Source organism: Homo sapiens, chromosome 2 (genome assembly GCF_000001405.40).
Source record: "Homo sapiens chromosome 2, GRCh38.p14 Primary Assembly".
Taxonomy (NCBI): domain Eukaryota; kingdom Metazoa; phylum Chordata; class Mammalia; order Primates; family Hominidae; genus Homo; species Homo sapiens.
Window position 1 is genome coordinate 207,489,807 of NC_000002.12, and position 15,142 is coordinate 207,504,948.

Consider the following 15,142-nt stretch of genomic DNA (forward strand, 5'->3'; position numbering starts at 1 on the left):
TCCCTCCAGAACATGGGGTTCAGCCTGTCTATTAAGCATTGGCTATCCCTGGCTGCTTATTAGGAACTGCTGGGGAGATTCTTTACCAAAGCTTCCTCTGCCCCCGTCCCTGTCCCCAAGTTCTGACATCAGAGATGGGACCTGGGCATCTATCTGGTATTCTAACATGCAGCCAGGAGAAAAATCATTGGTCAGCAGAGTGGCATGAAAGGACACAGGTGCCTAAGGCTGGGCATGGTGGCTCACACTTGTAATCCCAGCACTTTGGGAGGCCAAGAAGGGCAGATCACTTGAGGCCAGGAGTTCAAGACCAGCCTGGGCAACACAGCGAAACCCCGTCTCTACTAAAAATACAAAAATTAGCCAGGCATGGTGCCGCATACCTGCAGTCCCAGCTACTCAGGAGGTTGAGGCACGAAAATCGCTTGAACCTCAGGAGGCGCAGGTTGCAGTGAGCCGAGCACTCCAGCCTGAGCAACAGAGTGAGACTCTGTCTCAAGGACACTGATGCCTAGTCATGGGGCTGGAGAGAAAAGCAAGAACCAGCTCATGAAAAATCTTGTAACCCAAGAGTATGGATCTTACACGAAGGGTTTAATCAAGGGGGCAACATAATCAGGTTTGTTCTCTACAAATGCCCTCTTACTGCACATTGTGAAGGGAGTGGAGAGGGGCAAGGGAAGAATTAGAAGATGGTGGAGACTGGATTTAGCATAGGTATAGTGGGAATGGATGAAATCCATTCCATTTGCAGGAAGCAAAGATACGAATGGTTTCTGGAATGCCTATAATTATTGCTACAGCCTCCTAACTGGATTTCCCAACCCCACACTTTTTCCCTTCTCATCAACCCTGTGAATCACCACCAGATTTACCCATCCTTAAATACCACTTATTGTGTTAAGGAATACTAGGCAGCCTAATAATTAAGTGTATTTGCTCTTGGACCGAACAGACTGGGTTCAAATCCTATCTCTGCCACTTTACGGTGCCCCATTTCCTCATCTATAACATGTGATACTAAAAATAGTGTTTACATCAGAGGGTTGCTTTGAGTCAATGTAGGAGAACTTCTATAATTACCTGTGTATGGTAATCATTCCAAAAAAAAATCATTATTCAAACACCTTCAATATAAAACCTTCTGTTTTCCATTTGTCGGAATGCCAAGGTCTGCCTGTCCAGATCCTTCACCTTTTGGGTCCACCCTGCTACTCAGCCTCGTTGAATTCTGTCCCCAAAATATGTCACATGAACACTCCAGATACAGCACCTTTGTGCCTGGGTCATGCTGCTTTCCTCATTTTGAATGCCTTTATTTTTCCCTGCTACCCTCCCCAGTCCTTCTGTCCCTTAAATGCTTATCATTACTTCTAAAAAAGTGACTCCCAATGCCGTGACTGGTGACCATATGACCATACCCAGTATAATCATCTTTCCCAAGGGAGGACTGCCTGTCATTCCTACCAGGAGGCTATCATTCCAAATAACTCACAAAGCCACTCATGCTCGTAACTGTCACTGCTATCTAAATGCTAAGCACTCACAGAAGGCCCAGAGCATAAACTTGTCTTTCCCATGCTTTGTGGAGCACCATGGATGCCCCTAGAAGCCCATAAATAAAAAACAACTTTGCTATGAGTTAAGTTTTCATCAGGACTGTCAGCTGTGAAATATTCAGAGGCTTTCTTGAGTTATTAACCCAAACCAATGTTGCATATTACAAAGAGACAGGACCCAAAATATGTGAATTAATTGACCAAACTATATTTTAGCAGTTGTCCTTAAAGGAGAAGCGAAGTCCTACCCCAAGCAGGACTTCACAAAGCATGTGTGTCCTTCTTTGCCTCGTGTCCTTTCATTTTTACAGATTTATTGAGGCATGAATGACAAACAATAGACGATGCAATATTAAATTGCACAATTTGATAAATCTCATGTCCTTTTAACCACAAAGCTTTATAATAATAATCATTTTTATTAGACTACTTAAAATTCTCTTCTATTTTCAAACATGATAGTGTAATATTAAAATCCAAGTTTGCCTACAATAAGGCTTCCACACCTATAAGTTACTAAAAATTTCCCTTGGCTGGGAAAATGTGATCCAGAATTTGAAATTACAAAACCAAAAGGATTTTTCTTGTCAATGAAAAATGATTGGCACAGTGGCTCACATTTGTAATCCCAACACTTTGGGAGGCCAAGGCAGGAGGATTGCTTGATGCCATAAGTTCAAGACTAGCCTGGGCAACATAGCAAGATTCCCATCTCTACAAAAAAAAATTTAAGAAAAGTGACACGTGCCTGTAGTCCTAGCTACTTGAGAGGCTAAAATGGGAGGATCCTTGAACCCAGGAGCTTGAAGCAGCAGCGAGTATGGAGTATGATTGCATCACTGCACTCCAGCCTGGGTGACACAGCAAGACCTGTCTCAAAAAGGAAACAAAAGAAAAATGATCGCGTTGGATTTTAAACCAAGACGTTATAGGCACTCAACTTGCTTTTGGCTGGAAATAAAATATTTTCTATAAATTTATTTATTCTTATTTACTATTATTGAATAATGTTAATACAACCATAACATTACTAAACATTTACTGAGTTTATCATGTGCCTGGAGCTGTGCTAAATGCTTTCCATACATTCTGTCACTCAGTCCTCACAACAGCCCTGGAGGAGGAAAGGGCTGTCCCTTTTTAACAGATGAAGGAACCAAAGTGTGGCGAAGTTAAGTTATTTATACAAGCTCAAGCAACCAGTAAATGATAGAGCTGGCTTTTCAAGTCAGCTATGTCTGCCTCCAGGGCCTGTTCTCTTAACCATTATGTCATCTTGCCACCCTCAAAATGAATATGCAAAACTGTGCCCCTACTCCACAGAAGAGTCAAGGAGGTTGACCACAAATCTATCAAGTTCATGGTACTCCCTTCTCCCACACTTCCTCATCCAAGAGCCTTGCCAAGCATACCTGGAGAGGTGATTCTCTTCCTAAACTCCCCAAACCTCACAATTACCCTCCTCTCTTCAGAGAAGAGATAAGTTCCACACAATCACTGTTAATATTCATTGGTACTTTTTCTTCTTTAGAAATAAAATATGAATAATATACTCAAGTCCTAAAACAGTCTATGTGCTTTAACATTTTCAGAAAGTAAGAATCCTCTTTATTGAAGACAATCTAGATAATTCCATTTCCCCTGCAGCTTGGTGCCAAACAAACAAATGAATATAGCCCTAGAATTCAAGGAAGAAATGGTTTGCTTTCCCTGCAATAACTTTATATTCTTGTGGTATTTTTGCCAGGTTACATCGAATTTTAATTGTTTGGCATTCTCTTTAAGGACTTCGAATTAGTAATCAATAGAAAATCTGGAGATAATAAGTTTACAGTAGCATTTAAGAAAGAAGCATGAGTTTAAAATGATCAAATGATTGCAACCTGAAATTAATATTCAGTACATTTGGAGAATGTGAAGTTTAGGCAAAAATGAGAATGAAAGCAATAATGGAACAATGGTAGCCTCTGTGTGGCAGAGTAGATAGACAATCACTTAGATGGGCATTTGGAAGCCAAAACAAGGTGCTACGTTCTCAAAGCTGCTCTTCCACAAAACAGACCTAGTCCTTTATGCCATGGAGAGTTTCCTGGAGCACAGTTTGGAGATATACCTAACTATAAAGAAGGAAGAGATGAAGGAAGCAAGGGGAGGAGGAAGAAAAGAGGAAGAAGAAAAAGCAAACATGCAGACGCTGAGTTAAATCCAACATGGGCAAGTAAAATCTGTATAACAACAACAAAAAGATTTTCAAGTTTCTAGATTGAAACCTCATGAAATCTAGGCATTAAAAACACAAACACAAAAGAATATTGGGTAATATATTAGAATTCTTGGTATTAGAATTCGACCTGTAGTTCAGGAGATAATAATAGCAATATTGAAGGCACAGGAAGAAGTGGAAGAGCATGATAACAGAGAATATTATTTTGGATACTTGTGCTATATAGGTAAACTAAATAGTAGTTTTCCAATGTTCAGTTTTCATAATAATTGTTTTTATTAAGTGCTTTGTATACTCATTTCTGCACTACCACTATTTGTAATATTCTAATCTCTCTGGAAGTCTATCAGATAATTATAATTATCTGCATTTGTACACAAGAAAACTGAAGATGAGTGAGAGTAAGTTGCTCAAAGACACACAGATAGTTAGAGGCAAAGCTGCTCACCAGTGACAGCTCTGGGGCCACTCTCAAACCTGTTTAATCTTGAACATCATCATCATCACCAACAACAGCCACAACAATGTTAATTGGGCAGTTTACATACAGTAACACTTGTAGTCCCCATCATAACCTCTTGAGGTAGTTACTATTGTTATTCCAATTTTACATAAGAGAAAACTGAGGCTCAAGTAGGTTAAATCGTAGCTAGTCACCTAGCTGTTAAGGTGATAGAGTTGGGATATGAACTCAGGCAAGCTGACTCTATGCATTTAACCACTGCATGCTTAATGTTTTGTAAATTTTAGAAATATGACTAACACTTTAAACCACTCCTGTGTGAATATCATATAACTAGCATTTCAATAAATGTTAATAAATGGCTTGCTCTACTGCATTCTTAATATGAGAATTAGCATCAGAATCAGGTCAAATTCAGTTACAGGTAATTTGATGCACAGACATTGGTTTTGTTTTATTTTCATTCTCTTATTTTGATGGAAATATGCTGTAATGAGTGAATTGTGATAAAGCACAATGATAGTTTATTGAAGTAAGAGATTAGAAAGAGCTGATGCTTTCGTCTTACTATCTTTCTAAAGTGACAGTGAATTAACAAATTAAGAAAAATGTTTTAAACAGAAAACAATACAAGAGGTGGCTGGAAACTCTTTTTTTTCTACAGACTTGCAGGTATATATGTATTTGTGGATGCGCATAATGTGGCCTATTAGGTCTTTGTAACTGATTGGGACTTCAGTACGTTTGCCTGTCAACAAACAGGAAAAATAATGAACTTTGAAGAGCTCGGCTTATCTTTCCTTTTCTACTCTCTTCCTACATTTTAACTTTAAAATTAAATTGTTAAGTTATAGGTATTTATCTAATAACTGAGAGGTACTCTCGAAAGAACACATTTTACAAAATATGAATTAATCAGGATAAGAGAGGCTATGCTACATTAAAACATGGGCCAGTGAGGGCCAGTGGGGGGTCTCATGCCTATAATCTCAGCACTTCAGGAGGCAAAGGCGTCCCAAAGTGGATCACTTGAGGCCAGGAGTTTGAGACCAGCCTGGCAACATAGTGAAACCCCAACTCTACTAAAAATACAAAAATTAGCCGGCCATGGTGGCACATGCCTGTAGTCCCAGTTCCTCAGGAGGCTGAGGCAGGAGAATCGCTTGAACCTGGGAGGCAGATGTTGCAGTGAGCCGAGATCGTGCCACTGCACTCCAGCCTGGGCGACAAAGCAAGACTCCATCTCACAAAAAAAAAAAGCCAGTGACTTAACAAAGTTGAATTTCTTGCTCACACAGAGTGCTATGGCAATTGGGCACTCCCTAGCATCTGTCCTCTCTTTGGGAACTCAATAAACCAGGAGGCATCCATCCAATGGTTTCACTGTCTCAGCACATGGCTTTCCAAATCATAGCTGCAGAGAAAGACAGGAGCTGAAGGATTGCACACAGGCTTGTAAATGGTTTGGTTCAGATATGGCACGTGTCACTCCTCTTGTAGCTCAATCACCAGCATCGAACTCAACCAAGAATGACTGGAAAGGTATGGATGCACACACATCTCTGGTGGGTAAAGAATGTCTCTGACACAGAGCATTATATACATGCTTCCTTACTGCTACTACCACTAATGCTAATACTGTATGTTTATCACAACCAAAGTTTGTTTGCTTTTTTCATCTTTTTCAAGAAACAAACTTTTGGTTTTATTAACCAATTCTATGAAGGTTGTTTTGCTTCATTAATTTTGCTTTTATCTTTAATCTGCTGTAAATTCATTTACTCTTTGGGATTTATTTTTGTTGTTCCTTTTCTATCTTGAGTTGAGTACTTTATTTTGAATCTTTCTCATTTTCTAATAAAAAATCAAGCCTACAAATTTCCTTCTGGATACCTCTTTGGCTGCTTTCCGCAGTTTTGATATATACTACTTTCATTGTGGTTTCATTCTGAACATTTCACAATTTTATTTTGACTGTCTCTTTATCCAGAGAATTACATAGGGATGTGCTTTGTTAGTCTCCAAATGTACAGATATGGAGCCACTCTCTTTTGTTGTTAATTTATTATTGTATTACATCATAATCAAACAACATATCACCTATATGAAATCAAACATTTTTTAACTTGTTGAGTTTTTTTTCTGGCAGACTACTGCTATAGATCTTTTTGTAAAAGCTCCTTATATAATTCTTTACCTTGCTTTAGAGAGTGAGAAAATTTTAGAAAAAAACAAGCCACAAAAGAAATCTCAGCAAGTTAAAAAATGTTTGATTTCATATGGGTGATACCATGTTGTTTGATTATGATATGATACAATAATAAATTAACAACAAAAGAGAGTGGCTCCATATTTATTCAGATACCACTTTGGCTGCTTTCCACAGTTTTAATATATACTACTTTCATTGTGATTTCTTTCTGAACATTTCACAATTTTACTATGACAGATCCAGGTATTGTATTTTTATCTGCCACATAATGCCCACCACAGCAATGACGCTCACAGACACCACTGGTTGAAAACCTCAGCTCTATTTTGTAGATTTGGAGTTTAAGGAATTGGGTGATTGGGAGAAGACTGCAGGAAAAGCTGACTGGGTGGTAGTGGACATGAAGAATTTTCTTGGTTTATATTAAGTAACCATATCTTGTTCATCATTATATCTTGCTTATCTTTGTATGCACAATGCCTGGCACAGAGAAGGCAATCAATAAATGTAGATGACTAGATGAATTAGTATTTACCTAGGCAACTATGAGCATCACATGATAGCTAATGGCATGTAACAGAAATAAAATCCTATTTCATCTTCTGAAATATCAACAGCTTGTGAGAAGGTGTCACAACATTTACGTTACTTTTGTATCTTCCCCCATGCACAATGTTAAGCACAAAGTAAATACTTTTTTTTTTTTTTGAAATAGAGACTCACTCTGTTGACCAGCCTGGAGTGCAGTGGCACGATCTCAGCTCAATGCAACCTTCACCTCCTGGGTTCAAACAGATTCTCATGTCTCAGCCTCCCGAGTAGCTGGGAGTACAGGCATGTGCCACCACGTCCGGCTAATTATTACGTAATTTTTAGTAGAGACGGGGGTTTCCCCATGTTGGCCAGGCTGGTCTCGAACTCCTGGCCTCAAGTGATCCACCAGCCTCGGCCTCCCAAAGTGCTGTGATTACAGACATCAGCCACCACATCTGGCGGCAAATACTTCTTTTTTTTTTTTTTTCTTCTGAGACAGAGTCACTGTCGCCCCGGCTAGAGTGCAGTGGCGTGATCTCAGCTCACTGCAACCTCCATCTCCCGGGTTCAAGTGATTCTCCTGCTTCAGCCTCCCAAGTAGCTGGGATTACAGGTGCCCACCACCACACCCAGCTAATTTTTGTATTTTTAGTAGAGACGGGGTTTCACCATGTTGGCCAGGCTAGTCTCGAACTCCTGACCTCAGGTGATCCACCCGCCTTAACCTCCCAAAGTGCTGGGATTATAGGCGTGAGCCACTGCACCCAGCTGGAAAATACTTCTTAAATGCAATTTATAAGCATGTGTATTAGTTTCCTATTGCTGGTATAACAAATTACTACAAACTTAGTGGCTTAAAACAACACAGATGTGTTGTCTTACAGTTCTAGAGGTTAGTTCTAAATAGGTCTCACTGAGCTAAATCCACGGTGTCAGCAGAGCTGTGTTCTTTCCTAGAGCTTCTAGGGGAGAATCTGTTTTCCTGCCTTTTCCAGCATCTAGCAGCTGCCACATTCCTTGGCTTGGGACCTTGTTCCATCTTCAAATTCATCAGTAGCAGTTCTTTCTCACAATGCTATTTCTCTGTTTCTAACTCTTTTGCCTCTACTTTATCCACTTAAGGACTCAGGATAATCTTCTTATTTTAAGGCCAGCTGATAAACAATTTTAAGTATATCTGCAACCTTAATTCCCCTTGCCATGTAACATAACATTTACAGGCTCTGGTTGTGAGGACATGGACACCTTTTGGGGGTCATTATTGTGTCTATCATAGCACGTAAAACAAAGAAAAAGGACAAATAGAAGAAGAAAAGACAGTGAATGGACACAATGGAGTGACAGAGTTAATAACAGTAATAACACTAGAGATATAAGGATTGGTGCATGGACTACAAGATTCTCGAACAAGGCCAAAAAAAGGATCTGTCCCACACTATTAGCTAAATTCAAGCACTTGCACACACGTGAGTGCACAAACACACACACACAAAGTAATATTCTGGTTAGCTGATGTCACTGCTGGGATATTACTGTTTACTAATAATAAAACAAACTACACAAGGCATGAATGGCACGTGTGTTATTTATAGTTTTTGTAGAAGAAGTTCTCAAATTCCTTTCTTCCTGAAAAAGGATTATTTTCTTACCCTTTGCATTCTAGCTCACCTCTAACATGTCCAGAAATTTCTAGGAAGGCAGAGGAAAGACTCTACATTTGCCTCCCCAATTGAAGCCATCACCACGCAAGGGCTGAAGGTGATTGTCAAAGTGCCCTCCTGAGACTGGACACCGCTGGCCTAAATTAGAGGAGGAGGCTGGTAGACACCGCCCCCTCGTGCAGAGGGGCAGAGAAGCCATTCCCCATGGCTCCCCACCTGTCTTGCTGGAGGAAATTTCTTGGCTAAAAGTCCATGGAAAATGGTTGTTTGGAAAGTGAAGTTCCCTAGAGCTTTGAGAATCAACTTTTTTTTTTTTTTTTTTTTGAGATGGAGTTTCACTCTTGTTGCCCAGGCTGGAGTGCAATGGAGCAATCTCGGCTCAGTGCAACCTCCGCCTCCTGGGTTCAAGCGAGAATCAACTTTTTTCATCATTTTAAACCTACTTATTGGGAAATCTCTCTAAAATATATTACAGAAAAAGAATAATCATACCGAGTCAATACTGCATGAAAAGATATAATAGCATGGAATAAATTATTCATTTCCTTGCCTCTTAGAGAGTACTCTGAGTGCAATTTTAACCATTCTTTCTGGCTGTGAACCTCAGAGTTTTTTACAGTTCTGTAGAGCAGATAGAATGCCAATCTTCTTTGCATATTTATGTCATTTTTAAAAGGTTTTTGTTGCTGTTGTTTTATTTTGTTTTGTTTTTCCCTCCTCTGTGGTTGTCAGTGGTCACTTTTTAAATTTTGGTTTTGTCAGTGTGACTTCCTTTAACAACTTCCTTCCTCTTCTCCTTTGCTATGGAAAATAGTAACTAGGATACCAATCTAGTTAAACTTGTAAGTAAAATGAGGTAAAGTGAGATCCTAATAAAGATACAAGATACTTACAAGTGAAGTGTATGAGATTTAAGACAAAACCAGAGTGACGCTGCAGGCAGGACTGCCCATTCCATCTGGAATGCATGACTGTCTGTCATCTATTTGGCTACTTAGAAACTATTTTTACCTCTTCTCTATTTTTGTTCTGAATAGGTTAGTGTGAAATAATTGTTTTAGCAAGATGAAATATTGCTATATTTTTTAATGTGCCAAAGTCTTCTTTTTTTTTTTTTTTTTTTTTTGAGATGGTGGTCTCACTCTGTTGCCCAGGCTGGAGTCCAGTGGCACAATTTCGGCTGACTGCAGCCTCGACTTCTCAGGCTCAAGCAGCCTTCCAGTTCAGCCTCCCAAGTAGCTGAGACCACAGGTGCACACCACCATGCCCAGCTAAGTTTTAAATAATTTCTAGAGACAAGAGCTTGCTATGTTGCCTAGGCTGGTCTTGAACTCCTGGACTCAAGTGATCCTTCCACCTCGGCCTCCCAAAATGCTGGGATTATAGGAATTAGCCACCTCACCCAGCCAAAGTCTTGAAATGGGATAAAACAGGAGTCCTCAGTCCTGGTATTGACCCCCTCACCAAAGTCACGCCCCTTTCGATGTTTATAGCAACTTGATAAAAACCAGGGCTGTGAATTAAATGTCCATTAACAAAAGAATAGGCTCACTTTTATAACAAAATACTATGCAGCTATGAACTATGTATACTACATATTTATAAACACTAAGTGGAAATTATGTTCCTTCTTATATTGTTTAGTTAGAGGAGTGAGTATTGACAGAAAAATGCTTCCCTCTTTGATCCCCCAGGTTGACAGTTCTGAGATGCATTGCACAAGGCCCCCCAGGAGGTCCCAGCAAAATCTAGCACCAGTTACTCACGGCACTGTCCAGCTCAGTAATGAACCTTTCTATTAGCCGCCCCTCTTTCCCTGCTTCCCCCACTCCCCGCCCTGATCCCTGCCCCTACGCCCTGCAGTCACCTCCCCAAGTCAGTGCATACAAGCTTTTGTCTCAGAATTTGCTTTTGAGAGAAGCCACATTAAGAAAGACATTGCTGGCCAGGCCTGGTGGCTCATGCCTGTAATCCCAGCACTTTGGGAGGATCACTTTAACTCAGGAGTTCAAGACCAGCCTGGGCAACATAGCAAGACCTTGTCTCTACTAAAAAAATGTTTTTAATTACCTGGGCATGGTGGTGTGCACTTATAGTCCCAGCAACTAGGGAGGCCAAGACAGGAAGATCACTTGATCCAGGAAGCTGAGGCTGCAGTGAACTGTGATTGCATCACTGCACTCCAGCCTGAACAACAGAGCGAGACCCTGTCTCAGAAAACAAAACAAAAAAAGAAAAAAAGAAAGACATTGTCAAGTGAGGACATGGTGTTTAGAGCTGCCTTATCCATGTGGCAACCAGGGGGCAAGACCTAGAGAGCTTCAGAGAAGCTGACCCAGAATGCAGGCACAACTGAGCCACATAATGACCAACTACCTCTAGATATCTTGTTCTGTGAAAAGAATAAGCCCCTATTGTTTAAGTCACTCTTAATTGGGTTTTCTGTTACTTGCAGCAAAGGTACTTTTTTTTTTTCTTTGAGATGGAGTTTCACTCTTGTTGCCCAGGCTGGAGTGCAATGGCACGATCTCAGCTTACCACAACCTTCGCGCCCTGGATTCAAGCAATTCTCCTGCCTCAGCCTCCTGAGTATCTGGGATTACAGGCATGTGCCACCACGTCCAGCTAATTTTTTATATTTTTAGTAGAGATGGGGTTTCACCATGTTAGCCAGGATGGTCTCGATCTCCCGACCTCAGGTGATCTGCCGCCCGCCTCGGCCTCCCAAAGTGCTGGGATTACAGGCATGAGCCACTGCACCCAGCCCATGATACATGAGGCCAATTGAAGACCTCCTTGGGAATATTTTATGTAGAAAAGAAGGCAGAGGAACAAGCTCTCCGTATGGGGAAGCCTGAGGGTGTCAGCTAGGCAGCTCCTGGTGACCACAGTTCTAGCTTGTGGACAGTGCTGATCTGACAGAAGCAGAGAAAAAAAGAGAGAGAGAGTCCTGTGATTTAAATTCTTCTGGCAGTGAATTCCTCTTTTTGCCTAAGATATTTCACACAGCATTTCTATCACTTGCAAACAAGAGTCCTGCCTAATTTAAGTAAGAGCCATTCTTGTTTTGTTTTGTTTTGTTTTAAAAAAAAAAGTGGGGAAAAAAGTGGGTGCATGAGTGTGAATGTGTCTTCATCTAAGCATAGAAAAAATCGGAATGGATACACTTAACAGTTGACAGTAGTTATTTCTGGGGAGAGTCAGAATAGAGGGGAGTAAGGAGGACATATGTATCATTTGTACTTTGTAAACTTCTCAATGTTTAAACTTGTTATAATGAGCTTGTATCATTTTGCAATTTTAAAAGTCTAAAAACTACAGAAACTCTGAGATAATAAATGTGTGTTATTTGATGCTGTTAAGTTTGAGGTATACAGCAACGGAAAATACACATAGGGAATCACTGAAAACTTGACAACCACTGCTTGCAAACCACCCAACAAACCTCAGATAGACAACCACAGGTCCCAATGCCCACATAAAACCAGTAACAATTTGCTGAGTGAAGGACTGATGCTGGGAAGTTGTATCCAACTGGCCTGTGACCACGGCCCCACGTGCACAGATAATTTCCCCTAAAATCCAACCCAAGTAAGCCTATGACGTAAATTTAAAAACAAAACCTAAACCAGCAATCTTGCTCTGCAACTGCAGCTTCAAAACAAGCTTATCCACTTGCCCCTTTCCAACCCAATACATTTCTAGAGAGAAAAATCTAGAGTTGCCACAGGTCAATGAGTCTGTATAAAAAGCCTAAATGCTAAAGGAAGCAGGAAATATGGGGTACCATTCTACGCACACAAGCTGATGGGATGGAACCAGGACCAGAGAGAATGGGGTTATGGGAAATGGATACAGAGGCTGGCTCAGCCATGAGCCACTTGGTAGATAGGTCAAAGCACATAATCATAAGGACATGACAATCTCAGGGTGGAGATGACGTTGGCAAGTGGAGTGCAAACAGCTAAAAGGAAAGCAGGTGACAGTTCTGAGTGGTGCTAGCAGAACCCGAAATGAAAGGTGGAGTGTGCCAGGAACAGCAAGAGAGGGGACTGGCAAAATCCTGTGTGGGGCTAGAGAATTGGGAGGCAGCATCCATTTACAGGGAAGACCCAGATTCTGGGCAGGGATACTGAGGCAAAAATTCAGGCTTATGAATAGTAAAAGCTACATGGCATACTTACTACATGTCTACATGCCAAGTGCTTTAAACTATATTTCACTGAATTCTGCCAAAAACCCCATGAGGAGGGAACTTTTATCATCTCCATTTTTCAGATGAAGAAACTAAGGCAGACAGAATATATGTGTTTTGCTCACAGTCACATAGCTCATATATCAGTCAGCTCCAGATGCCATAACAGAATACACAGACCGGGTGGCTTAAACAACAGAAATAGATTTTCTTGACATTCTGGAGGTTCAAAATCTAAGATCGAGGTGCTGGCAGGGTTAGTTCCTGGCGAGGCCTCTATTCTCAGCTTGCAGATGGCCACCTTCTTCTATGTCCTCACATGGCCTCTTCTCTGTGCACTCGTGGAAAGAGATCACTGGTTTCTCTTCCTCTTCTTACAAAAACACCAGCCCTGTCAGATTAGGGTCCCACCCTTAGGAACCCCATTTAACTGTAATTACCTCCTTAAAGGCCCTATCTTTAAATATAGTCATATTGTGGGCTGAGGCTTCAACAACACATGAATTTGAGGAAGACACAGTCCAGTTCATAATAGCTCATAAGGAGCAAACATAGACAGTGTGACTCCAGAGCCTGATGCTTTTCGTGTGTGTTAATACATATTTTATCAAGGTATAATTTAAATATTATAGCTCACTTAGTTTTGAATAAATGCTTATGTCCATGGGACCCACATGTCTATCAAGAACGATACAGTTCTCTCAGCCACCACACCCTACCAGACCTCGTGATGACAGAAGGTGCTGCCACTGGTAGATTTCACAGCAGGCAGTAGTCATCCCTAGAACTGTGGACACAAGGTCCACCCCCAGCCAAGACTCGATTCTGAGCTCCCTCCCTCCCATGCACACACTGCATGGGGCTTCCTGCCTGGGCCAGTCCTCACGCTCTGCTGCTGTTCTCTGGGTCCCAGGAGACTGACCACTGCAAGCTGTATTTCCCAGGATATTTTTCCTCCTCCCTCTCTGCCTTGGGCAGTATCTCAGCATCTCTTCTCTGGCTCCAGCTCCCAACAGATGACCCTAGTGCCTCCTCTTCGGTTTAAAAAAAAAAAAATACGACCTCCTCCCTGTTGACCTCCAGTTTAGAAGTGGTACTGGTTTTCTGCTATCACAATTCTTTGGATTATCTCACCATCCATTGTTTGGCTTCTCAGCTCTTTTGTCTCCTGTATAACCAGTTCCCTGCATATTCCCTCTGTTTCAAATGCTCAGCAGGGTTTCTCTTTTCTGGATTATACTTTTCTGGTATACTGACATATTCCCTATTTGTCATAACTGGCTCAGTAACTGGGATGAGTCTAGATATATAGATGGAGCCCAGGCACAGAGGCTGAAAGCTAGAGGACTCATAAGCAGAGGTTTCTCCAAGAGAATACCAGGAATTGTATTACATTTGTTCTCCACTTATTGACAACTTATTGGTCCATCTTGTTATCAAATTTGCACTTGTTTGATTTATTCACTGTCTATGGCTCACCTATTTTTCAGGTAGACCTCTAACTGACATCAAGACAAAACATGCCTTTATCACCAGCTTCTTCAGCTGTTGTCATAACTGTAAGCTACTATTGGATTCGTCACACTGCAAATACCTCATGTTCTCACTTATAAGTGGAAGCTAAATGATGAGAACACACGGACACACAGAGGGGAATAACACACACTGGGGCCTATTGGAGGGTGGAGGGTGGGAGGAGGGAGAGGATCAGGAAAAATACCTAATAGGATTAATACCTGGGTGATGAAATGAGACAAGTTTACTTGTGTAACAAACCTGCAGCTTACCTACGTAACCTATTACCCCTGAACTTAAAAGTTTAAAAAAAAATGTGCTTGCTAATATGAAATGGTTGGGGAGAAAAGAGGGACTAAGGAAGACAGGATGGGACACTAACACCGAGGAGCCTTCAACAGCCTGTGGATATTCCTGGGGATCCTATCAGCCAGCTGGGGGTGGAGGAGGAGCCACAGGCAGAGCCTTTCAAGAGGCAAATGCCCGTCCAGCTCTGGCCCCAGTTTTCCTTACGGCAGCCTCTGCTTAACTATAAAATCTATACTGAGTAGATTACCATGACTACCGCAGAAAGACCTCCACCTCTAGTTTGGCTGCAAAACTAAGTCTTTTCTTCCAAGAGCCTTTGGCTTTAGGAGGGAGCACCAGGAGGCAGACTGCAGCCACTGGCTCACTGCCCTACATGCCAGGGCCTTCTGCAGAACCGCAATAGTTACAAGTCAAGCTTCCTTTCCTCAGCCCATACCACCAAAGCAATGGGCTGTTGGCGTGCCCTGACA

At 41.4% G+C, this 15,142-nt stretch overlaps 1 annotated feature.

Moving 5' to 3' along the window:
- Positions 13,733 to 13,792: an enhancer, noted in NCBI's record as "active region_17038". NCBI's record gives its function as "activates an Ori minimal core promoter by ATAC-STARR-seq in GM12878 lymphoblastoid cells {active_cell/tissue: GM12878}" and the evidence as "EXISTENCE:reporter gene assay evidence [ECO:0000049][PMID:35858748]".